We start from the raw sequence: 27,186 nt of genomic DNA, 5'->3' as shown, positions 1-27,186 counted from the left end.
TTCTATCTTAGTTGTCTCCTGACTTTTATTTTTAATCTACTATATGGAATCGATTCCATTTTTTTTCCTTGAAATGTACTTGCCTTCATTTTCCATTATAAACAGTTTCTGTCATGGTTGGATCATGACTTTCTCGTGTGACTAACCTCCACTTCCCTTGTTTTTTAACTATCTTCCTTTTCGTTTCTTGTATTGTTTACCTCTATCACATCCTCAAGCTTCGGCCAAACTTGTAGTAATCATGACCATTGTACACAATCTCCTTTTTCTGCGGTATTGGTGTGATGCAGGCTCTCCCTCTTCCTGTCCCCATCTGCAGGTTGAGGCTCCCACAGCTGTGGCCTTGAGTAGGTGTCAGTGTTCTCTTGAGCTGGGCTAATTGTTCTCTGGACCTTCACTCATGTTCTTTCATTTACTCCCTTGCTTTGATGGAGTGCAACCTCAATAATTATTCAGAAAGGAGGGTTGGGAAGCAGATTGTCTGACACTTTTGGTGTCTGAAAATTTATCTATTCTGCTCTCAAATTGGTTAATAATTCATTTCATTTAGCATAGAATTCTGGATTGAAATAGTTCCTACTGAACTTTGAAGTCCTTGCTGCACTGACATCTATCATTAAGAGTTCCTGCAGAGACGTAATTCTGTCCTAATTTTCATTTCTAGTTTACACTGAGTAAGATATATTACTGTTTAAAGGTATCTGTGCCTATCTTTTGGTAAAATTAATATTATTCCCAATTTATTTCCTTTTACATTCATCTGACATTTTATATATCTGATGTGATCAAAGAGAAGACAGCATGCAGTTATAAAATTTAAATGTATTTGTTCTTATTGCAAACTAGTTATTATCAAGTAAGAATACTAAAGTTATATTACATGAATGTTCCTAAATTTCTTTACCTTGACCAGAAATTTCTGATGATGGGTTAGAAAGTGGATGATGGTAGCAATTATGAAAATAATAATAGATGACATAAAGTAAATTTGGAGGAAAATAGCAGAACTGAACAGAGAACATCAGAAGTCTGGATATAGAGAAATAGAGTGATCTGTGCCCAGGAACTTTGAAAGTATGTTGGCCATTGAAAATCTTTGGAAATCTTCATTTGTGTAAGAAACACTCCTTCTCTGAGATGATTTCTTCCATTATAGTAACATTCCTGGACTCTCTTCAATTTTTCTTCCCAAGAAAAGTGGATTTATGCACCTCATCTGTGAGCTGGAGTAAGAAAGCAGGCCTGCATGTGTGACTCCTCCTCCTTCTTTAGGGACCTGGCTTCATGTCTGCAGAGAGGACACTTTTTGCATGGATCTTTGATGCTGAGAGTTTAAGATGCAGTCTTCCCTTTGGAGACCCATGATTTCCCAGCGCTACCTGGTGGGTGAGTGGGTAGATCCTTGCCCAGAATGTAACATTAGGAGTCCACCACTGCTGCACATCTAGGATATATTCTCTAACAGCTCCATTTATAAAATAACTGACAGAGCTTCACTGGCCTCATTCTTTTGTCTGTTTTTCAATTGGTTCAGAAAGTGGGCGGTAAATAGAGATATGATTTTTCTCAATCTTCTCAAACACAAAAAATATTAATATCAGCATTTGACAACCACATATCTTTGTTGAGAATCTACTACGTAGTAGGGGCTATTCTGTATCAACATGTGTCCTTCTTTAACCCTTTTCTCCCACTTCCTCCTTTCTTGCAGGACTGGTGTCCCCCTAAGCACCTTCATCCTACTCCTGGCCTTCAGCATAGGCTAATCTGTGACTGTTCCTTGTCTATAACCTGTTCATCCATCACTTGATACTAAGTTTGATGGCAGAGACTGAGTCTTGATACCTACATATCCTTAGTCTCTAGATGCTCATTAATTATTTGCTAAATTAATGAAATGATCAGTAAACCATTAACTTTAAACCATAAACTTTCTATGCTTAAGTAGCTTTCTTTCCCACTGAGGAGGCAGATAGCTACATACTCAATAATATGGTTAGCAATACAATTTAGACGTGAACTAAGGGCTGTGGAAGCAAATAAAGGAAAACTTTAATGTATTTGGAAGAGACCTAGTGGTAGTTGATTCTCCAACAGCACAAATCGTTATTACTAATTATTTTAAATTTTCTAATATTTGTATGTATTTTAAATATGCATACTATAGTAATATTTGAATATAATTTATAAATGTATAAAAGTCAACACATATTGAGATATGTCAGTGACTTTCCTAAGTGTTATGTTTTTTATTAATTCATGAACAAACGTGGAGATTGCCAACCTAAACCTTAAAACAAACCAACTTTCTTCTTTGAAAAGAAGAAAAAGAGAAAAGAGAAAACCACATATTCTTAGAGCTTATTGGACATCTCCCTCAAAGGCTCCCTGGAATACAGACATGAAATCACGCAATATCGCAATTGCAACATTGCAAATGCCTCAGGGAATAAAAGTATGGGTAAGGAGAGGTTAATCCAGGAGTAAGAGGTAGTGGAGATGACTTGTGATCAGACATTCAAGTCCAAAGGCAATCTTCCCACTACAGGAAACCTGACTCCTTTCAATTATACGGTATGGGTCTCAACCCTGGCCTCCCTGATTTTGAATAGCATCCTCAGTGTTGATGACTTTGGCTCAGCCTCTTAGATCAGAGGTTCCCAACCCCCAGGCCATGAACCGATACTGGTACATGGCCTGTTAGGAACCGGGCTGCACAGCAGGAGATGAGTGGCTGGTGAGTGAGCATTAATGCCTGAGCTCTGCTTCCTGTCGGATCAGTGGAGGCATGAGATTCTCATAGGAGTGTGAACCCTATTGTGAACTACTCATGAGAGGGATCTAGGTGGCATCCATCTTATGGGATTCTAATGCCTGATGATCTTATCTGGAACAGTTACATCCTGAAACCATCCCCTATGTCCTCCATCTATGGAAAAACTGTCTTTCACAAAACTGGTCTCTGGTGCCAAAAAGGCTGGGGACTGCTGCCTTAGATCCCAAAAAGTCAGATGCAGATGCCTTATAGCCTCCTTGGTTTGACAGCTTGGCTGATATCCTGTACTCTGATTCTGATTAACATTACATGGCGTTAATTTCAAAATCTTCTGTTCTCTATCTTTCCTTAGAGATAACAAAAATCTCAGGCTTTGAAGTCAGCTGAGCTTTAAATTTACTTTCTTAACAGCAGTGTAATGTTAAGTAAGTTATCTTCTTCAATGGTCAATGTTCTCCTATTAATGTTGGGAATAATACTATCTCCCATTTAAGGTTAATTAAATAATTAAATAAGATAATGTACAAAAGGTGTCTGACATGTAGTAAAATACATGTTAAATGGTTAGCTATTATAATTATTCCTTAATGCTGAGTGAATTTATCAAAAAGAAATAAGATACATGACTTACAGATTATGATACATGTAGCCTTTATGATAAAAGTATCTTGGTTTACCTAATGATATGCCTGATACGATAAAGACATTTTGACTTAATGGTGTATCTTACCATTTATGTGCTCAATTAGTAATTAACTCTCATAGGCAGACCATAGCATAGCACTTTTATACAATCAAGCCAAATTATACTATTTTCTTTATAGTTTAGCTTTCAAATCGACATCATGGGTCAACAGCTTCCTCTGCTATGATGCATGCAGGTCATTAGGCTTGACCACACACAGGGGCACGGTCATAGGCTGAAGGCAGAGAAGCTAGACTCCCATGCAGCTGCACTTGTCTTGCTCCTGACACTACCTCTCTCAGGTTACTTCTGAGGGTCACTGCGCTCCTCACCTCTCATCCTCATGCCAGCTACTTAGAAGTCTTTACCATCCTGTTCCCTCAAGAAATCTTTGTCCTCTGAAAATGTGTGCCTGGATACCAGAGGCACCATAACAGACATGCTGTGTCATGAGGTCACAAAGGTGGTGGCAAGACAATTAACGTTGAGGCTGGGGGAAAAGACACCAGAAGAAGAAGGCAACAACAGGAAGAGGAGAAGCAGCAATTCAGGTGGCTTTAGCTCCTTGTGTTTGAAGACTCATAGGCAGGGACATTTCATGGACACATAGACAAGCTCACGTCTTTATCATCCCTCCTTCTACTCAAACTTTCTTTGCATTGATTCTCTGCCATATGTGCCAGTTGGCTCCAGCAAACATCTTACATCATTTAATTTAAATCATTTCAATTAATGTGTGTATACTACCCTCACTAAGCTAATGATCACAAAGTCCATTTGTTTTCATAGGAAAGGAGGATTCCAATTAAAGGAAGAAATGAAGGGTTTGGCCCTAAGTACATTAAATATATCACCCAGCCCAGTTCCTTAACATGAAAGAAATAAAGCTGTTTGATACCAAGAATTAGATTCTGTGGGATTTCATGTGACTCAGGACAGGCCAGGCCAATCAGATATTCTCTTGTTCACAGAGATTATTTTAGAAGGATTCAATCCAAGCCAATTAGGCTTAATTAGAGCAAATTCCACTACTTTTATTTCTGCCACTAGAAAGACACACTTTCTTCTTCGCTTGCCCTGAATCGGATAGTGCTTGAAGCCTGGATTTGTCAGCAGCCACACAAGCCAGCCAACGCAGCAGAGAACAGGGCTGAGGACAGAGAAAAACTGATGGCCATGCTTAGGCCATGGATCAAGGCATGCCCAAACCAGCCCCAATCTTGTGCTTCTCCGTTATGCCAGTCAATAAATTGCCTTTGTTGTTCAAAACTGTATAGTTGGTGTTTGATCATTTGCAACACGAAGAATCCAATACAAGTTTGAGGCAAACCAATGCAATAATCTAAAGAAGTTGCGTGTGTGTGTGTGTGTGTGTGTGTGTGTGTGTGTGTGTGTGTGTATGAGAGACAGAGAGAGAGAGAGAGAGAGATGGAGTCTCTCTCTGTTGCTGGGCTGGAGTGCAGTGGCAAGATCTCGGCTCACTGCAACCTTTGCCTCCCTGGTTCAAGCAATTCTCCTGCCTCAGCCTACTGAGTAGCTGGGACTACAGGCATGCACCACTATGCCCAACTAATTTTTGTATTTTTAGTAGAGACGGGGTTTCACCATGTTGGCCAGAATGGTCTCGATCTCTTGACCTCGTGATCCACCCGCCTCGGCCTCCCAAAGTGCTGGGATTACAGGCGTGAGCCACCGCGCCGGCTACCTTTTTTTTTTTTTCCACAGGGTGATGGTGGTGTTAGTTCCTGACAAATGGAAGAATGAGGGAGAATGCAACCAGAAGTAGAAAGAAGTATTTAAAAATGAGGAGAGAAGGTGGACACAAATTTGAATGACTCCCTGCCATCAGTCATGCAAACCGAACTTACAGGTTATGGAAATCCACATCATCAGTGTTGGCTCACATGAATGAGGAGGATTGTTCAGTGTTCTCCTGTGCTCTGGGTGGGAAGGGGGTCAAAAATGAGGGTAGAGAAAGATTACTAGGTTTTGCAAGAGAGGACTAGTGGGAAAACTTCAGATGACAGTTCTAAATTTAAAAAATATATTTATATATATATAAATTACTAAACCTTATGGATGAGTTCTTGACTTTCTGATATACTGTATCTCAACAAATCTAAGAATGATGATTATAAGAATACCATTAATTTTGTGCTATTAAGAAAGGAAATTCCAATGCAAATTAAACCATATTACTGAATGTAATATGCCTCACAATTTCAGAGCTATTAAATGTGAGAAAAATGGGCATCTTAGATTTGGTAAAATATGATAATAACACAATGGAGTGCATATTAATAGCAGATGCCTATCAATCATGCCTTATTTAGATAATTGTTATCAATGATTATCTCTGTCATGTATGTGAGCAGGCCTTTGCTAATATTAAAAAATGTTTGTCTGCTAGAATAGATGACAAATGTAGTTCTTGTTGAAGACAGAAAAGTAATAGATTTTTAAGTAACTGCATGGAAATGTCCATTATTGTATACAGAGGTTACAGTGATGCAATTAATTACCAACTGTCCTCAAGCCTGTACTGAGAAGCTGCGTTATGTACTGAATTAGCTGTATGGCAAAGGCACGAGCACCCTGCTGGGGCTACTACTGCTGTCTTTGGTCCAACAGGCACCAACTAGGTGCCAAACACTGTTCCAGGGCTGAGGATACCACCATGAACAGGACAAAAGAGGTCTCTTGTTCTAGAGACTTCTTAGAGCTTATATTATAGTTTAGGGAAAACAGCCAGTATGTATGAAAATTTCTCATATTTAAATATGAAAAATAAGACAATTTTCTATAGTGACAAATTAAGGGAATAAATAGGATCACTAGGAGTATATTTTAAATATAATGGTAAAGAAGGTTTTTCTGGCACATCAAGTTAAAAAGCTTCTGCACAGCAAAGGAAACAAACAACGATGTGAAAAAACCAGTCACGGAATGGGAGAAAATATTTGCAAACTACCCATCTGACAAGGGATTAATAACCAGAATATCTAGGGAGCTCAAACAACTCTATAGGAAAAAATATAATAATCCAATTTAAAAAATGGGCAAGGGAGCGAGGCGCAGTGACTCATGCCTGTAATCTCAGCACTTTGGGAGATCGAGGCACACGGATCATCTGAGGTCAAGAGTTCAAGACCAGACTGGCCAACAAACATGGTGAAACCTCGTCTCTACTAAAAATACAAAAAGTTAGTATGGTGTGATGGCACGCGCCTGTAATCCCAGCTACTCAGAAGGCTGAAGTAGGAGAATCATTTGAACCCAGGAGGCAGAGATTGCAGTGAGCTGAGATGGTACCATTGTACTCCAGCCTGGGTGCCGGAGCAAGACTCTGTCTCAAAAAGAAAAAAAAAAAAGGGCAAAAGATTGGAATATATATTTCTCAAAAGAAGACATACAAATAGCAAATAGCATATGAAAAGGTGCTTAACATCATTGATCATCAGAGGAATGCAAATAAAAACTACAACAAGATACTGTCTCACCCCAGCTAAAATGGCTTACATCCAAAAGACAGGCAATAACAAATGCTGGCGAGGACGTGGAGAAAAAAGAACCCTTGTGCACTGTTGGTGGGAATGTAAATTAGTACAACCACTATGGACAACAGTTTGGAGAAAAAGACTAAAAATAGAGCTACTATGAGATTCAGCAATCCCACCGCTGGGTATATACCCCTAAGAAAGGAAATCAGTCTATTGAAGAGGTATCTGCACTCCCATGTTTGTTGTAGCACTGTTAACAATAGCCACGATTTGGAAGCAACCTATATTCATCAACAGATTAATGGAAATGTGCCACAAAGAAAATGTGGCACATGTACACAATGGAGTACTATTCAGCCATAAAAAAGAATGAGATCTTGTCATCTGCAACAACATGGATGGAACAGGAGAACATTATGTTAAGTGAAATAAGCCAGGCACAAAAAGACAAATATTGTATGTTCTCACTTATTTGCGGCATCTAAAAATCAAAACAATTGAACTCATGGAGACAGAGTAGAAGGATGGTTACCAAAGGCTGGGAAGGGTAGTGAAAGTAGGGGCAGGGGTTTGGATAATGGGTTAAAAAATAGAAAGAATAAGACCTAGTGTTTGATAGCACAACAGGATGACTATAGTCAATAATAATTTAATTTTACACTTTAAAATAAAAAGAGTATAATTGGATTGTTTGTAACACAAGGGATAAATGCCTGAGGGATGGATACCCCATTCTCTATGATGTGATTCTCTCACATGGCATGCCTGTATCAAAATATCTCATGTACCTCATAAATATATACACCTACTATGTACCTACAAACCTTACAAATAAAAAAGGTTTTTCTGTGATGACACACGAGCTAACACTGAATAATGAGATTGAACCAACCATGAAAAGTGCAGAGCAGACCTCCCATTTCCCCTCTGGCACACAAGAAACTCAGGAGTTGCCACTCCATCCTAACCACAAGTAAAAAACTGAACAAACAGAAAAGTCCCCAACTTTTCTTAGACCCAGAAGAGGAATAAGGTCATAGTGTAGACTGCTATGGCAAATTTGAGAGACAGACAGACAAATACAGGGAATCACAACTTACTGGAACAGAGGCTGGGCACGGTGGCTCAGGCCTGTAATCCCAGCATTTTGGGAGGCTGGGGCGGGCAGATCACGAGGTCAAGAGATTGAGACCATCCTGGCCAACATGGTGAAACCTCATCTCTACTAAAAATACAAAAATTAGCTGGGCTTGGTGGCGTGTGCCTGTAGTCCCAGCTACTCGGGAGACTGAGGCAGGAGAACCACTTGAACTCGGGAGGCGGATGTTGCAGTGAGCCGAGACTCTGCCTCAAAAAACAAACAAACAAACAAACAAAACTCTCGGTAAACTAGAAATAGAGGAGAATTGATAAAGAATTTGTACAAAAACCTTCAACTAACATCATATTTAATGTTGAGAAATGAAAAGCTTTTACACCAAGACCAGGGACAAGGCAAGGAAGTTCCCTCTCACCGTTCCTTCTCAACATTGTGCTGGAAGTCCTAGGTAATGCAATAGGACAGGAAAAGGAAATAAAAGGCACATAGATTAGAAAGGAAGAACTAAAACCGTGTTCACAAATGACAAGATTGCCTATTTGGAAAATCAGAAACAACAGAAAACAAAACTGCTAGAACTAATGAGCAATTATAGCAGGGTTGCAAGATACAAAGTTTATATATAAAAATTGACTGCTTTAATAAATGCCAGCAATGAACAAGTAGAATTTGAAACAGGCTGGGCACGGTGGCTCATTCCTGTAATCCCAGCACTTTGGGAAGCCAAGGCAGGTGGATCACCTGAGGTCAGGAGTTCGAGACCACCCTGACCAATTTGGTGAAACCCCGTCTCTACTAAAAAAATACAAAAATTAGCTGGGCGTGGTGGCAAGCGCCTGTAATCCTACCTACTCAGGAGGCTGAGGCAGCAGAATCGCTTGAACCCGGGAGGTGGAGGTTGCAGTGAACGCACACAGTGCCACTGCACTCCAGCCAGGGCAACAGAGTGAGACTCTGTCTCAAAAAAAAAAAAAAAGTTTGCCTCCTACTGAAATGAGTATTTTAGAATGGGGAATCTCTTAACTTTTGCATTAAAAAATTCACTGTTCATCTCCTCCCCATGGTTTTGTTCTTTTTTATCCATCCCAACATTTGTAGTTCAAAACTTAGTCCAGGAAATCTCAGGCATATATTATTTGCCTTATCTCATATATAACATAATTATGGACTTGAGAATAATGCTGCAATATTCATTTTGTTTATCCTCTTTCATTGTTCAAAAACAGCCTGAAAACACTCTTTACCCAAATGTTTTAACATTATGATGAAATAATTTTATTAACATTTTCTACAAATATGAAATTAAAATAGGCCCCCAAACAAGATTAATTCAAATAGTTCATTGCTAGGCTGATAATAATTTTTCTATTTTCTGTTTCTAATAAACTAGTCATAAGTGTAGCTGCCATCTCTCTCAGAAAGTCCTTCTTTGACATAACCCTCAAATAAGTATCTAATCTTGAGCTTATGCTCAAGGGAAAGTGCAGGAGAAGGTGCAGTGGGAGGGGAGGGCCACAGGAGAGGGAGAGGGCTGAGTAGGTGAAGGAGAAAATGGGAAGGGAAAGGGTGTGGAGCAGGCTGCCCTGAAGAGGGAAGGGTACATGCTGGCCCAGATGGAGGGTGTCACTGGAGAGGGCAGGAGCAAATCAGCTTCCACCTGAGTGCCACCAGAGTAGCAGGGAGGTCATCTGCTGTGAGTGGTAGGGAGCAGGGCTGGCAGGAGGCCGGAGGAGAGCAGTGGAGTTATGGAATTGCTTCTAAAGGGAGTAGGAGACGGACTGTGTCAAGCTTAATGGGACAGCAGAGTGGCACCTCTCCTGTCTCTTGCATCCTTTCTTGCCGAATGATCTCTGCACAGGCCAGTTCCTATTTCCCTTCTGCCATAACGGAAGCTTTCTGAGCCCTCACGAGAAGCAGATGCTGGTGCCATGCTTCCTGTACAGCCTGCAGAACCATGAGCCAAAGGAAACCTCTTTTCTTTATAAATGACCTGGCCTCAGATATTCCTTTATTCCTCTGCAGTTTAACTACCTTAATGAATTACAGCCTCTCTGGGCCCAGTTTCCTTCCGTGTTAAATGAGGTCCTAATTGCAGAGTGTGTATGAAAGTGACATGAAATGAAACACCTAAAGTGACTCTTAAAGTAGGAGTTCCATCAACACAATAAACAGAGCATCTTTCTTTTCAGAGCAAGTGCTCGAAGACAGAGGTAATGGTACAATGATATTACATGTACCTGTGATAATTAAACTATCTGGAGAATAATCTATTGCATATTTTTGGCAAGTAATTTTGGATTAAGGGGAGTTATAAACAAATAATACATATTTTTGGCAAGTAATTTTGGATTAAGGGGAGTTATAAACAAACTGAGTCAACAATCTTAAAGAAAAAAGACAGGAAAACAAAAACCTGGTTACCAATTGAGGCGACTGGTCAGGACAGCAGGGCCTACCAGGAGAGAAGAGAAAAAGAATGCAACCAGAACTTAATATGCAGGGGGCATTTGCAACTACAATTTCTGTGCATCACCATGCCTTTAAAATGCAAGGCAACCCCAAGTGTAACACAATCCATGGAATTTCATGCAAATAATTCAATGATTTTCATAAACATTCCTTATAAAAGTATAACTTTATTACTTAGTTTTAGCCTTTTTATATCTGGTTGCTAGTTAGGCCTTTGTCTTCAATTCAATATGATTTTAGTTAAATTTTTCATGTTTAAAAATTTTCCCTTTTCTTATTCAGGTAACTTACTATATCTTAGTTTTGAAAAAGAGTTTAGCAACAAATATTGAATAAAGTCTACTAGACAAAAAACAGTGTATTTTTACAAATTGATATCTGATTCATGTTACTTGTCCAGTTCAGCTTTCATTATTTAATTACTGATGTAGCTATACTTTGATATAATGGAATGACTCAAGGTTTTGTACCTGAAGCAACCAAGCCCACATCCATGCTGGGATTTAATTTAGGTGATCCCACTCAGGGGTCCAGAACTGGGTCCCCTCTTCAAACCAAGTCTGAATTAGGTATTAACCTAATTGAAATTGAGTCCAAATTAGGTATTAGGTCCAGACATTTTTCTAGACAGCAGATCTGTAACTATTACCAGATTCTCAAAGGGCCCCAGGACCTTAAATTACCTTGGAAAGTATCATTTTACCCTTTTCTTACTTTACCTGCTGTTTCCTATTCCGGCATAAATATTTCCCTCATATGTAACAAAATGAAATGTCAAAATGCATGTTGCTAAGGTAGTTAATTTTATTTCCTAATTTTGAAGATGTCATGTTTAGAAATGTATATGCTAGTTTACTTTAACCAGGGATCCCTGTATAGAAAACATTGTATTGTTACCACTGTCAACACACAACCAATTTTTTTACTTCACATTTAACTACAGAAAACCTACGAAAATTGGCATTCAAAAAATACAAGGTACCATCACTTAAGTATGAATTATTGTACCACTATTATCATGTCCATATAAATCATTTTCCTACAATTTTAGAATAAGAAATAAAATTATCTTTATCTTTTTTAGTTAACTATAACCATGTCCCTAGACATTTATGTATTTTACCCACAGTACAATAAGGTCTCTTGTAGGACACAGTCTTATTTTTTAAATTATTTATTTATTTATTATTTATTTATTTATTTTTGAGACGGAGTCTTACTCTATCGCCCAGGCTGGAGTGCATTGGTGCGACCTCAGCTCACTGCAACTTCGCCACCCAGGTTCAAGTGATTCTCCTGCCTCAGCCTCCCGAGAAGCTGGGACTACAGGCGTGTGCCACCACACCCAGATAATTTTTGTATTTTTAGCAGAGATCGGGTTTCACCATGATGCCCAGGCTCGTTTTTAAGAGACGGAGTCGTGCTCTGTTGCCCAGGCTGGAGTGCAGGGGCCTGATCTCGGCTCACTGCAAGCTCCGCCTCCCGGGTTCACGCCATTCTTCTGCCTCAGCCTCCGGAGTAGCTGGGACTACAGGCGCCTGCCACCACGCCCGGCTAATTTTTAAAAAAATATTTTTAGTAGACACGGGGTTTCACCGTGTTAGCCAGGAGCCAGGATGGTCTCCATCTCCTGACCTCGTGATCCGCCCACCTCGGCCTCCCAAAGGTCTGGGATTACAGGCGTGAGCCACCGCGCCCGCCCAGGATACAGTCTTAAGCAGTAAACATCAAGTGAGAGTCTGACAAATAATAAAAAACCATTCCTAAGATAACATAATGATGCTGATTAAAATGTAATAGTGTGTGTATATATGTGTATACATATTTAAATAAAAATGATCTTAAATATTACCAACCCACAATTTATAAAATGTTACTTTTAAAATGGAGTATTATTATCCTGGTTATCTCTGAGAGGTGTTTTAGTAGTTTTAAAATGTAAATAAATTATTTGTACAACGTGAAAGTTTATTGATTTTATAGTCTGTTATGTAGACTAGCTAGGCTATGTAGCTCTGATCATTTGAATTTATTAAATGAGCTATTTATCACTACCTTTTTTCTGAGATTTAAGAAAGATTGACAGAGTACAGTCGTGGCACATGTGAGGCCACGGTGTTAAGTGTATCATACACGTTAATTATTTACGTGTAACATCCACTAAATATTGTGTCTGTCTGATTCAGCAAAAACATTAAAGATGAAAAGAACAGAGGACTTAAGTACAATATTTGAAGATATAACTGCTGTATAACTTTAAAAGTTTACTGTAAGATATTTTAACACATGTGGATGGATGCCTGCTTGCTAGTCAATTTGGAAGCATATTGTCATGAAAGGAAGTTTTAATACCAGAGACACTGAACCTGTTAGCAAAAGATTACGTCAACAAAAACGAAGATTTTAGCTTATGTGTACTTTTGGAATAGAATTGTGCAATCTCTTCTTTACAGCTTCTTTACAGTCTGTTCATATCAAAGGAAGAAAAGCATGGGAAGACCCATATTACATTGAAAAATGTAAATACGATTCCATTGCTTTATTAGCACCAATTTACCTGTGTTAAGGAACAGCCAGGAGTATTAGTACATGAATAGTACGGATATACATGGAGCGCCAGCATTACAAAATCCGCCTGTACAATATTATCACTGGATGAGTAGATGTTTCACAGATCAACTGGCTGGTGCCGTGCTAACATTCAGAAACATCAGAATACTCGGTAATGATGTAAGAACAAGCAACTTGCTAACGCTGATGTAACCAAGTGACAGCATGCAAATATGTAAATATTAATTAGTGGTACTTAATGGAGGTAATGAGTATAAGGGTGGTGAGGATCATCAAGTTATTATGTAATCCCATTGAAGACGACAGAGCCCCGCTGCTGCGCTTCAGTTCCCCTCTAAAACCCCCAAGTAACCCCTACGCAACTTTGCACTTGGTGCAGACACTCCGCTTACTCAGTGTTACAGACTCCCCAGCAAGCAACCCAGGGCAAAGTTTTTGGCAAAATCATTTGCAGAGAACCAATTCACTCTGATTCTCTCACACCACACACACGCACACAGGAAGTTATTAAGTCTCATTGCAGAATGAGGATCAGTTAGTGAAGTCTTTGGGCAAAGAAAAGCCAACTGTCTAAATTACATTTTACTCTTGTCCCTGAGCCCCCACAAGGGGGCAGGGGAAGGAAAGTGCTGTCTGGGGCAGAGAAGGCGAGGAGAAAGAGGGCACGGGTGGTGATGGAGTCCTAGGAGGAAGGCTGGAACCGGCATAGGGACGTCTAACAACAGAGGGGTTAGTTTAGGAGGTTGGAGGAGAAGGAAGGGACCCAGGAATTGGGGGAACTGAAGGCGAAGTGGCGGGCCGTGGCTATTCTCTTTACCTGCTGTACTTCTTGGAGTCCCGGGGCGCAAACAGCCGCTGCATTTCCCTTCATTCCCGACGGGATGACACCACAGTCTTCTCCCCAGACAGCGCGGGCCTCTGCTCCGTCCTTCCTCAGCGACCGCAGCGACGACTCTGCTCCAGGGCGGGGGAGCAGCTTCCCAAGCCGCGGGCGCCCACTTCCCCGCCCGGACTCCGGGCGGTGCTGGCCGGGGCGCGCGGGGAGGCGGGGACCAGGGACCCCCCAGGAACTAGCCTGGGCTGCTGCACCGCTGCCAGGGCCGTCCTGCGCCTAGCCGAGCCCAGGGCGCCGCCGGCTGGACGCCCGTCAACTCCCACTGCGCCCGGCCCCCGAGCGCGCCCGGCTGGATCCGGCGCGCCCCTCCGCCCCAGGCGCCGCCAAGTCCCAGCACTATGCGCCCCTCCAGATGTCCGAAAGCGCCTCTCCAGGGCAGCCTATGTCCCTCTGTGTCCTTCCCGCGACGGGCCGGGCCCACCACTCCACACCTCCCGGGTCCTTCCATGTCCATCACCGTGTGCCTCTCCAGCATCCCCCCTCCCCTCCAAGTTCCAACATAGCACTCCTTCACATATTCCCCGCGTCGCTTCAGAGGTTCCTCCAGCCACTGCCCCGCCCCTCCACTTTTCCAGTTTCTCCAGTTCTATCGAGGCGCGCCCCTCCAGCACGTCCCCACCCCTCCACTCCCTCCCCGCGTCCCTGCACTCCCTCCCCGCACCCCTGCACTCCCACTCCGAGCCCCTCTGTGACCAAACACCGCGCCTTTCCAAGCGCTCCTCCTTCGCGCCGCCCCAAGATTCCCCTCCATACCCTGCACTCCTTCCGCACCCACCCACGCACCCCTGCGCGCCTCCACCCGGCGGCCTCTCCACCCTCAGACTCGCCCCCGCGATCCAGCGCGCGGGGCACTGGGCAGGGACATTTCTCGCTCCCACGCGAGTCCTTCGCTGCAGACGCTGGGTGCCTTCTTTCCAACCCAACTACTCCTGCTGAACGCATCTTGGGCTTGGAGCGCGGGACCACAATCTTTACACTTCTGGCCCTCGTCCTTTACTGTCAGAAAGGGTCAGCACCTGAGGAGATTTAGATAGTCCCTCTGGAGGGAGTGGTTCCATTTGCGAGCCTTTAAAAGTCTTGCCACCCAGCCTGTCCCCCGCAAACCCCTTGGGTTTATCACAGTTTACTCACTCTCGCGCAATGCTAGTTCTCCATCCGCCGCTAGGAGGCACCCCGAAGGGTTTGCTGTGGTGAAAACAATGCTGCATGCAGTTTATGCTGCACTTTAGTTAGCTCTTGGAGGCGAGCTGGGAAATAGTGACTGCTGATCCATGGACAAAGAAGCCGCTTTTTACTATGTTCTATTTTCAAGGCCTGAAGAAGTTCTCTGTAGCACATAGTAGTCTGGAGTTGGTTCCTGCCGGTGGGTTCGTGGTCTCAGGAATAAAGCCGGGACCTTCGCGGTGAGTGTCACAGCGCTTTTAGATGGCACGGACCAAAGAGTTGGCGGTACCAAGGTTTATTGTGAAGACCAAAACAACAAACGTTTCACACTGTGAAAGGAGACTCCAGCCAGCATGGGGGGCAACTTTTATTCCCTTATTGTCTCTCCCTCCCCTGCCCCGCCCCCATGTTGCTTTTCTGTCCTACCAGAGTGCCCTTTTTTCAATCCTCCCCATGATTGGCTACTTTTAGAATCCTACTGATTGATGCGTTTTACAGAGCGCCAATTGGTGTGTTTTACAGAGCGCTGCTTGGTGTGTTTTACAGAGGGCTGATTGGTGTGTTTTACAATCCTCTTGTAAGAGAGGAAAGTTCCTCAAGTCCCCACTTCACCCAGGAAGTCCAGCTGGGCTCACCTCTCAATACAGTTTTCTAATTAGTGCTTGTGTATTTAACTCACTTATTTATTCGTTGACATTCTCCGTACACATGCATCACGGGGGAGCATCTTGGTTTTACCAGCTTTGTGTGAATGGTATGGGTATCTGAAGATGTTTGGTGAGTGTGCTAAGGAGGTAAACTTTCAAATATATTCCCGAAAGGATCATGCTGGTGTATTTTATGATTTTTTACAGTAAAAATCTGGTACCATATTTGGGACCAAGTAGAAACATAAAGATGTTGGACCGTTTTAAAATGTTTTTAATGTAACAGAATGGATAACTGCAAGGCAGAAATGTTTACAACTTCTAGATTACACTTTTTAAAAGCAAACTTTTGCAAAGGTAGAAATTGAAACGAGAAAAGCCAATTTTCCAGAAGTGTCCAGTGCAATACTTCTCTAATTACTTCTCTCTCTTATAGTTGATAGACAGTGATAATCATTTTCTAAAAATATCCCCCTCAAGGAGCAAAGGATAAACAAGATGGATATAGAGATATATTATTAAGGGTATATTAATAATTTCCTACATATTTCACAGGCAGCAAATGACAGATATTGTGAATTATTACTCTAAAAATGTCCGTACTAATCAGTAAAGGCTGCAGTTTAATATTTCTGCCAAAGAATTCAAAAGTTATTAATGTGTTTTAATTGCCAAAACTAATCTGATCTCAGAGCCAGAACTTCTCCTTTGTTGGCTTAGAAATAAATTATTAGCAACAGTTTGTGCTGGTGATGACGATCGCAGTGGGGATCTAGAGAACTTATGAGTCCCGTGATAAAAAGCTAAATATATCCGAAGTGGTGTATGAAAACAACCAGGGGTGTGGGCAAGGGATACCATCTCCAGACTGGACCGAACATCTTACCAGTAATAAGAATTTTGAGCAACTCAATACATGTATGTTTATTTATAAGTTATATGCGTTTATGAATTTATTGTATATTTTCTGTGAATGCCAATATATTGTTTATATTGTAAAACAGAAAGATAAATTTTAAAAGGATATATGAAAGTACATATAAATAAGAAAAGCAAGGAGGCTGAGGCAGGAGAATCGCTTGAACCCGGGAGGTGGAAGTTGCAGTGAGGCGAGATGGTGCAACTGCACTTCAGCCTGCGCAATGGAGGGAGACTCCATCTCAGGGGAAAAAAAAAAAATCAAAGAAAAGCACTGGAATGGTGACATGCAGATCTCTCTGTAGATCCTCTCCCCGATGAAACAACTCTACCTGATCGAACTATTTTTATTTTATTTTGAAATTTATTTTTAGCTGTAATGAACTTTATTTTTTAAAATTCTGATGATGTAATTGTTTTTTTTTTTTTTTTTTTTTGAGACGGAGTCTCACTCTGTCGCCCAGGCTGGAGTGCAGTGGCGCGATCTTGGCTCACTGCAAGCTCTGCCTCCTGGGTTCACGCCATTCTCCTGCCGCAGCCTCTGATGATGTAATTTTTAAATTTCAATAGTTATGTGGATGAATTGTAGAGTGGTGAAGTCAGAGGTTTTAGTGCACCCATCACCGAGCCGTATACATTGTACACAATATGTAGTTTTTTATCCCTTGCCCATTTTCTGGCTTCTGAGTCTCCAATGTCCATTCTACCACTCTGCATGCCTTTGTGCACCCATAGCTTAGCTCCCACTTATGAGTGAGAATATACGGTATTTGCTTTTTCATTCCTGAGTGATTTCACTTAAAATAATGGCCTCCAGCTCCATCCAAGTTGCTGCAAAAGACATTTTATTCTTTTTTGTGGATGAGTAGTATTCCATGGCATATATGTACCACATTTTCTTTATCCACTCATCAGTTGATGGGTACTTATGTTAGTTCCATATCTTTGCAATTGTGAATTGTGCTGCAATAAGCATATGCGTGCAAGTGTCTCTTTGATATGGTGACTTCTTTTCCTTTGGAGTAGATACCTAGTAATGGGATTGCTGGATTGAATGGTAGATCTACTTTTAGTTCTTTGAGAAATCACCATACTGTTTTCCAAAGAGGTTACAATAATTTACATTCCCACCAGCAGTGTATAAGCGTTCCCTTTTCACTACATCCACACCAACATCTGTTGCTTTTTGAGTTTTAATAATACCTACGCTGGCTGTGGTAAGGTGGTATTTCATTGTGGTTGTAATTTGCAATTCCCTGATGATTAGTGATGTTGAGCATTTTTTCGTGTTTTTGGCCATTTGTACATTTTTCTTTTGAGAAATGTCTATTCATGTCATTTTCCCACTTTTACATGGGTTTTTTTTTTTTTTTTTTTAGACGGCATTCTCGCTCTTTCGCCCAGGCTGGAGTGCAGTGGCGCTATTTCGGCTCACTGCAAGCTCCGCCTCCCGGGTTCACGCCATTCTCCAGCCTCAGCCTCACGAGTAGCTGGGACTACAGGCGCCCGCCACCGCCCCCAGCTAATTTTTTGTATTTTTAGTAGAGACGGGGTTTCACCGTGTTAGCCGGGATGATCTCGATCTCCTGACCTCGTGATCTGCCTGCCTCGGCCTCCCAAAGTGCTGGGATTACAGGCGTGAGCCACCGCACCTGGCCTTTTTTTTCCTTTTTGATTAGTTTCAGTTCCTCATAGATTCTGGACTAATATCCTTTGTCAGTTGCATAATTTGCAAATATTTTCTCCCACTTTGTGGGTTGTGTGTTTACTCTGATGATTATTTCTTTTGTGGTGCAGAACCTTTTTACTTTAATTAGGCCCATGTATTTATTTTTGGTTTTGCTGCATTTGCTTTTAGGGTATTAGTCATAAATTCTTTCCCTAGAGCCATGTCCAGAAGAGTTTTTTCCTGAGTTTTCTTCTAGAATTGTAATGGTTTCAGGTCTTAGATTTAAGTCTTTGATCCACCTTGAGTTGATTTTTGTAGTTGGTGAAAGAGATCCAGTTTCATTCTTCCACATGTGGCTATCCAGTTTTCCCAACACCATTTATTGAATATGGTATGCCGTCCCCAATTTATGTTTTTGTATGCTTTGTTGAATAATAGTTTGTTATAAATATTTGGTTTTATTCTGTGATTTCTGTTTTCTTTTTTTGATGGAGCCTCATTCAGTCCAGGCTGGAGTGCAGTGGCGTATTCTCGGCTCACTGCAAGCTCCGCCTCCCGGGTTCACACCACTCTCCTGCCTCAGCCGAGTAGCTGGGACTACAGGCACCTGCTACCACACCCGGCTAATTTTTTGTATTTTTTAATAGAGACGGGGTTTCACCAAGTTAGCCAGGATGGTCTCGATCTGACTTCGTGATCCTCCCGCCTTGGCCTCCCAAAGTGCTGGTATTACAGGCGTGAGCCACCGCGCCTGGCCTGTTTCTGTGATTTCTGTTCTGGTCCATTGGTATATGTATCTACTTTTATATCAGTACCATGCTGTTTTGGTTACTGAAAATTGTTGTTGTTGTTTTTTAAAACTAACTAAAGCCTCTGGAATCATCCTAAGGGCATACAGCAAATGGAGAAATATTTATTTCTAAAATCTAACAAATATTGGTAAAAACAGTGTGAGTTTGTGGCATTTGAACCACTACCCACTCAGTCCCCACCCCCAACTCAGTGTGATGGAAGCTGTACTCTTGGTAGGTGTGGCCAAGAAGATAGACTCCCTCTACCCCAGTTACCAGTCCAGGATTTTGTTTTTTTCCAGAGGTGGTTGGCCTCCATCATTCTCACACCTAGTCCACCAAAGCATGTATGTAAACTCCATTCTAGTCAAGTGTGGATGAAAGGACTGGGGCTTTACCCAGCCACCTGCTACCCAGCCACCACCGTAAGGTAGAAGTTCTATTCAAATTGTGTCAGGTGAAGAATACTGGACAACTACTACCCCTGCCTTAGCCCACACATGGGGCGGAGGTTCCATATTGGGAGAGGCAAGCTGAAAAGACCAAGGGCTACTAACCCCACTCAGTGTCCTGCTCACGAAGCAGGGATGTCACTCTGAGAGAAGCAGCCTGTTGTCCCCACCCCCAGCTCTGGAGCAGTGGAACAAAGTTTCTTCCTAGGGCGAGAGGGAGGATTTAAGAATAGAGGACTTCATAGCTGATTTTATTTGAAACAGAATGGGGGAGAAGTTCACTATGAAAAACAATGGAGATCTTGGCAGTAAGCAATTAAGAGAAGACTGCTAGCTTTATGATAACAAAAAGCTAAATGGTAGACCAGCTAGAAAATTAAGAGACCATCAGGAAAAAAGTCGCAAAAAAGAGTCCTCCTAGACTTGTAGGAGGTCTCAAAGACTACCCATGAAAAGGGGACTGGGCTGTAATTAAATTAAATTATGGAACAGTTTATGCTCCAGATGTTGTCAAAAATATTAGAGGAATCAGCTAACAATTAGTAAAGGCTAAGAACTGGTGTAATACTAATAAAGGCAGATCAGCCAGACGCTTAACAGGGAGATCAGGGAGAGAAACAAACAATGCAAACCTAGCTAACATCACAGGAATATGGGGAGGGTTGGTCAGGAATATTGTATACATGCCCAAGGTTGCCCCATATGAGTTTCTGTTACAAGCTACATGCAGAGGGGAAAATCAACTTCTCTGAAATAGTCTAAACAAATCATTAAACAAGTAAACAAGGAAGCAAAGAACAAACCCTGGGGATGGAGGGGAAGGAATTAGAATCCAGAGTTTCTATGATACACTATGAAAAAATGTCCCAGTTTCCCAAAAAAGATGAAATATGCAAACACACATACATACACACAAACCAGTAAAGTGTAACCCATATCCAGCAGACAAAGCAGGCAATAGGAATGGTTTCTGAGATGTTAAACTCAGCAGAGACTTCAAAGTGTCTATTTTAAATATGTTCAAAGAACTTTGAAAACCATGGTTAAGAATTAAAGACCCTCCAACAGAATCAAAGACGGGTAGGCCTGACTTGCAAGAAACACTAGAAGCTTTTCAGGCCGAAAGAAAGACATTAATTCAAATACACACACACACACACACACACACACCACACACACACACACACAGCACTAGTAAATGTATTACATAGGTAATTGTAAAAGACAGTATAATAGTATGCTTCTTCTTCTCTTAATTGATATGCAAATCAATTGCACAAATCAATGTGTATATAATTCTATTGTTGGGCCTGTAATATATACATGTGTAATATACTTGATAATAAGGAAAAGAATACTTTGAGATAAATGAAAATAAAACAGAATATATGAAAACCTATGTGATGCAGCTAAAGCAGTGCTTAGAGGAAAATGTTTAGTTATGAATGCCTATACTAGAGACAAGAAAAATCTCAAATCTCTAACTTTACCTTTTACCTGAAGAAACTTGAAAAATAAAAACAAAAAATATAATGCAAGTAGAGGGAAGGAAGTACTAAGATTATATTAGAAATACATGAAATAAAAATAGTGGAAAAATAGAAAAATGATAGAAAAAGGAACTAATATTTATAAAAGATTAAACTGAGAAACTTTTAGATAGACTGATATGAGAGAGACAGACAGACAGGCACACACACACAGAAGGAATACTCAAATTATAAAAATCAGTAATAAAAAAGGAAACATCATTATCAACCTTAAAAAGCAAAAGGATTATAAGGGAATACTATGAACATCTCTATGTCTAAAAACAACGTAACTTAGATAAAATGGACAAACTCCTACAAAGATAGAAACTGCTGAAAACTGACTCAAGAAGAAATAGAAAGTCTCAATACAAATAGAAGTAAAGAGATCGAATTACTAAATGGAGAAACTTCCTAGAATGGCCCATGCCTCTATAGATTCACTGGTGAATTATACCAAACATTTAAGGGAGAATCAATATAAATTTTTTATGAACTCTTACAAAAGATAAACAAGGAGGAACACTTAACAATTTATTCTGTGAGGTGAGTATTACCCTGAAATCAAACCACACAAAATCCTCACAATAAAATAAAACTACAGGCCAATGTCTCTTGCAAATATAGAAATAAAAATACTATGAATATTAAATATAAAAATTACTAGCCAACATAATCTAGGAGCATATAAAAGGCATTATACACCATGACCGGCTGCTCCAAATGCAGTGGTGACACAAATAATTGATCACAGCCGGTTACAGATTTCTTTGTTCCTTCTCCACTCCCACTGCTTTACTTGACTAACCTTAAAAATTTTTTTTAAAAGTTTAAAAAGCATTATACACCATGACCCAATGGAATTTATCCCACAAATGTGAAGCATCTAAAAACCATCCATTGTAATTAACCATATTTAGAGAATAAAGGACAAAAAACAAATTATCATCTTAATAGACATAGAAAAGCCATTTGTCAAAATGAAACATTCTTTTCTAATAAAAATATCCAACAAACTAGAAATAGAAAGAAGTTTCCTCAACTCAATAAAGGGCATTTATAAAAAACCTATAGCTAACATCACATCATACTTAATGGTGAAAAACTGCTTTTTTTTTTCCCAAAGAAACAAATATTAGTAGATCTAAAGGGAGCAATAGAGAGCAATAAAATAATAGTAGGGCACTTCAACACCCTAATTTCAGCAAAGGACAGATCATATAGATAGAAAAATCAATGTACAGCCAAGAAGCATATGAAAAAATGCTCAACCTCGCTAAACATCCAAGAAAGGCAAATTATATTGACATAGTTTGGCTGTGTCCCCACCCAAATCTCATCTTGAATTGTAGTTCCCATAATCTCCACGTGTCTTGGGAGGGACCCAACGGGAGGTAATTGAATCTTGAAGGCGGTTACACCCATGCTGCTGTTCTTGTGATAGTGAGTCCTCACTGGATCTGATGGTTTTATAAAGGGCTTTTCCCCCTTTTGTTTGGCACTTCACCTTGCTGCTGCCACATGAAGAAGGATGTGTTTGCTTCTTCTTCCACCATGATTGTAAGTTTACTGAGGTCTCCCCAGCCATGCTGAACTGTGAGTCAATTAAACCTCTTTCCTTTATAAATTACCCAGTCTCTGGTATGTATTTATTAGCAGCATGAGAATGGACTAATATGCGTATGATCTAGCAATCCCACTACTGGGCTTATGTCTGAAAGAAATGAAATCAATATGTCGAAGAGGGACATCTGCACTGTCATGTTTGTTGCATTAGTATTCACAATAGCCAGATTATGGAATCAAGCCAAATGCTCATCAACAGATGAATGGATAAAGAGATTATTATATGCAATGAAACAGTATTCACCCACAGAAAAGGATGAAATCCTGTCATTTGTGACAATACGGATGAGCCTGGAGGACATTTTGTTAAGTGAAATAAGCCAAGCACAGAGACACATATATACTATAAGATATCACCCATATGTGGAATCTAAAAAAATTAACTGATACAAGTTGAGAGTAGAACAGTGGTTACCAGAGACTGAGGAGAATAATGAGAATGGGGAGAAGGGGAGAAGGTGGTCAACAGGTGAACTGTTACAGTTAGACAGGAGAAATAAGTACTGCTGCTCTTTTGCACAGTAGAGTGACTATAGCTAACTATAATGCATTGTATATTTCACATATCTAAAAGAGAAGATTTTGTCGTGAATGTTCTCATGACAAAGCAATGATAAATATTTAAGTTGATAAATATGCTAATGAACATGATTTGATTATACAGTGTATACATGTATGCAGACATCACACTGTACCCCATGCATATGTACAATTATTATATGTCAATAAAAAATAAAGTTCATTAGCTTCAAAAGAATGGACAAGCTAGTATCAAAAGTCATATAGGAATGCAAGATTACCAAAACAGAGAAAGTAATATGGAAAAAGAAGAACAATGTTGAGGCCTCATGATTTCTGATTTAGCAACTTACTACAAACCTATATGGTACTAGCATAAGACATATACATCAATGGAACAGAACTGAGTTCATAAATAAACTCTCACATTTGTAGTTAATTGAGCATTCAATGGGAAAAGAATTGTTTTATCAACATATGTTTATAAAACAACCGAATATTCACACACAAAAGAATAAAGTTGGGCTCCTTCTTCCTACCATACACAAAATTTAACTAAAAATGTATCATATGCCTCAATGTAAGAGCTAAAACTAAAAACTCTCAGAAGAGAACATAAATTTTTATGAACTTGAGCCCAGCAAAAGCTTGTTATGCACATCAAACTCAGTAGTAACAAATGAAAAAACAAATTAGGCCTCATCAAAATAAAAAATGTTTCTGCAGCAAATTATACCATCAAGAAAGCCAAAGAAAACATGAAAATGGTACAAAAGATTTGCAAATTCTATATCTGATAAGGAGCTCAATAAAAGGATGAGCTAACTGAAAATGAACATTTCTCCAAAAAAGATATACATAGGAAAGGATACTTGAAGCATTAGCCATTTAGAAAACACGAATCAAAACCACAATAAGATACCACTTCCAGCCTCTAGAAATGCTATAGTAAAAAAGACAAATAATCACAAATTTGCGAGGATGTGAAGAAATTGGAACACTCATATATTGCTGGAGGGAATGTAAAATGTTGCAACCATTTTGGAAAACAATTTGGGAGTGCTTCAAAACATTAAACATAGCCTTGTCAGACGACCCAGAAATTTTCTTCTATTTATCTATTCAAGAAAAATAAAAACAAATCCATAAAAAAACTTGCATACAAATGTGCACACTAGAAGTATTCATAACAGCAAAAATGGGGAAATAATCCAAATGTACATCAACTGATGAAGGAATAAATAAAACATGATATATCCATACAATGGAATATTATTCAGCAATAAAAGGAATGAATTACTGACACATAATACAATATGGATGAACTTTGAAAACATTATACTAGGTGAAAGGAGTCAACGACAAAAGATCAGATAGTATAATTAATAGACATAATATGAAAAATAGACAATTAGGGGCTAATAAAAATGTTCTAAGTTGAGAGTTTGGTGCCTGCTGCATAACTGTGAATATAGTAAAGCCTTTTTCATTCTGTACCTTAAATGGGTGAATTTTGTGTGGTATGTGAATTATATTTCAGTAAAGCTGTGAAAAATGCATATACATAAAAATATTAGCTTTTGTTTTTCTCTCATGCTCCAGTGAGTTGCAGAAGTCAGAAAAGAGAGGATCAGGAAGCCATCAATTCTGCTTTTACCTGTACATTTTTTTCTTATTCTTTCTTATTTAGTTAAAACGAAGTAAGAGTCAGCTCTCAGGTCATTTCCGTAAAATCCATCCCCTTTCTTATTTGTTTATTCCTTTGATGATGTTCAAGGTTCCTTTTTTTTTCCCCTTCAACACTATATTTTATAAGACTGTCTGCAAGCCAAGGGCTCTTCTTGTACCTACATTTGTATGTAAATTGGTACAGGTGATGTGTTAAACTATAACTTTAAATTTGTGACTTTAAATTTCAGTTGAACATCATGCTGTGATGAAAGAACATTGAACTTTATGCTAGAGGTCCTGGTTAATCCAAATTCTATTCTTAGATCTAACAATCTTTTCTGTGGTAACAGCTACCTCTGTGGGCCTAAGGCTTTTCATCAGTGACTGAAATGCTTGTTAAAAAAAAAATCCCTAACACTAATTTTTTTAAATTGATGTTTAAAAATTTCCTTTCTCTATTTTTTTCTTCTCAGCTTTTTTAGTATTCAGGAATGTGTTACAAGAAAGGCTAAAGGTTTGAATGGTCCTGTGTTTCTTAACTGTACAACATGTGGGCTCACTGCACCTGAAATTACTATAGTTCTAAATGTCAATGATTCTGAATATTAATAACTTTCAATTATGTAAAGACCACATAGTATAAGGTTAGGGGGCCCTCTGGGTGTAGAAACTGTGGGTTCTGATCTCTTTCTATTTGGTCATTGTATGATCTTACGACCTATGGCAAGCTGTATAAATTCTTTTTTTTTTTGAGACAGTTTTTGTTCTTGTTGCCCACGCTGGAGTGCAATGGCTCAGCTCACCACAACCTCCGCCTCCCTTGTTCAAGCGACTCTTCTGCCTCAGCCTCCTGAGTAGCTGGGATTACAGGCATGCGCCACCACGCCCGGCTAATTTTGTATTTTCAGTATAGACGGGGTTTCTCCGTGTTTGATCAGGCTGGTCTCCAATTCCCGACCTCAGGTGATCCACCTGCCTCAGCCTCCCAAAGTGCTGGGATTACAGGCATGAGTCACCGCGCCCAGACTGTAAATTCTTTATGCTTCTTTTTCCCCGTCTAAAACATGAGGGTAAAAATTAAGATGTAAATGATAGGAATGTTTTAAGAAATAAATGAATTAAGGTATGCAAAATATAGAACACAATACCTAGAATTTAGTAAGTTTTTTTTTTTAGAAATGCCAACATCTTTTCTTTTTTTCAAATTACACTTGCTAGTATGGGCCACTTTTCATTGGCTCCTCCAAAGGAAAGTTAATATTAAAGCAAGTTATGTAGGTAATTAATTTCGAAAAAATTCCTTTAATGTTTTATTAGAAAAATTAATGTTTGCCCTTGATTTTTTTTTTCTCATTTAAACATGTAGTGCCCATATGGAAGTGCCGGGAAGGGAAGAGCATGGCCCCTTTAAATGATACTGAAGGGAGAAAGGAAGTGCTGGGTAGAGGAAGGAGTGACCCCTAGCTAGGACTCCACCCCCACGGACCTAGGTGAGGACAGATGAGACCACCCTGGCCTGCCACGCCCCCATCCTGTGCCTAAAAATCCCGAGACCCTGCAGGCAGACACATAGGCGGCTGAACAGCAGGAGGAGCACATCAGCAGAGGAATACACGGGATGTGGAGAGACAGGTATTGGCATGCCAGCAGGCCACCAACCACCGATGGCAGAAGCAGAATGACGCCTGCAGGTCACACTGATGGACAGAAGCAGAACCATGCGGAGTTTGGCTGGGGCAGCCGAGGAGAGCCCAGGATGCAGAGTGGCCCAACTCCAGCGGAAAACTATCTTCCTTCTGGCTCCCTTATCTGCTGAGAGCTACTTCTACTCAATAAAACGTTACACTCATTCTCCAAGCCCACGTGTGATCCGATTCTGGTACACCAAGGCAAGAACCTGGGATACAGAAATATCTCTGTCCTTGTGATAAGGCAGGGGTCTACTTGAGCTGACCAACACAAGCTGCCTACAGATGGCTAAACTAAAAGAGCACCCTGTAGCATGCCCACTGGGGCTTCAGGAGTTGTAAACATTCACCCCTAGACACTGACTTAGGGTGGGAGCTCCACAGCCTGCCCATCTGTATGCTCCCCTAGCGGTTTGGGCAGCGGGGCACTGAAGAAGCGAGCCACACCCCTATCATCCGCCCTGCGAGGAGGACAAGGGAACTTTTCTGTTTCCGTGTCAAAAAGTTCCTCAAGACA

At 40.3% G+C, this 27,186-nt stretch overlaps 1 protein-coding gene, 2 long non-coding RNA genes and 1 pseudogene across 4 annotated transcripts in view, besides 1 other annotated feature; 3 read left to right on the top strand and 1 right to left on the bottom strand.

Annotated features, from left to right (window-relative positions):
• SGCG (sarcoglycan gamma) overlaps positions 1-14,056 on the bottom strand; it is a 164,655-nt gene extending 150,599 nt beyond the window's left edge. For both annotated transcript variants that reach the window (NM_001378244.1, XM_047430542.1), the window contains exon 1: positions 13,918-14,056. In NM_001378244.1, the coding sequence (NP_001365173.1) occupies positions 13,918-13,971 (54 nt within the window). In that variant the 5' untranslated portion in view covers positions 13,972-14,056. The remainder of the gene's footprint in view (positions 1-13,917) is intronic.
• On the top strand, positions 3,692-4,735 carry LINC00362 (long intergenic non-protein coding RNA 362). Its single transcript, XR_007063718.1, has 2 exons — positions 3,692-4,012; positions 4,512-4,735. It is a non-coding gene; the product is annotated as a long intergenic non-protein coding RNA 362 (long non-coding RNA).
• Positions 14,057-14,887: 831 nt separating the features above from the next.
• LOC124903134 (uncharacterized) lies at positions 14,888-26,838 on the top strand. The gene is made up of 2 exons (XR_007063719.1): positions 14,888-15,398; positions 26,348-26,838. It is a non-coding gene; the product is annotated as an uncharacterized LOC124903134 (long non-coding RNA).
• RNY3P4 (RNY3 pseudogene 4) lies at positions 21,878-21,976 on the top strand (annotated as a pseudogene).
• Positions 26,776-26,945: an enhancer, noted in NCBI's record as "experimental_32684 CRE fragment used in MPRA reporter constructs". NCBI's record gives its function as "activates a minimal promoter by MPRAs in K562 erythroleukemia cells, with activity observed for both the introgressed and non-introgressed 13:23721843 variant alleles {active_cell/tissue: K562}" and the evidence as "EXISTENCE:reporter gene assay evidence [ECO:0000049][PMID:34662402]".

This window comes from Homo sapiens, chromosome 13 (genome assembly GCF_000001405.40).
Source record: "Homo sapiens chromosome 13, GRCh38.p14 Primary Assembly".
NCBI lineage: Eukaryota > Metazoa > Chordata > Mammalia > Primates > Hominidae > Homo > Homo sapiens.
This window is presented reverse-complemented; position numbering and strand designations above follow the sequence as displayed.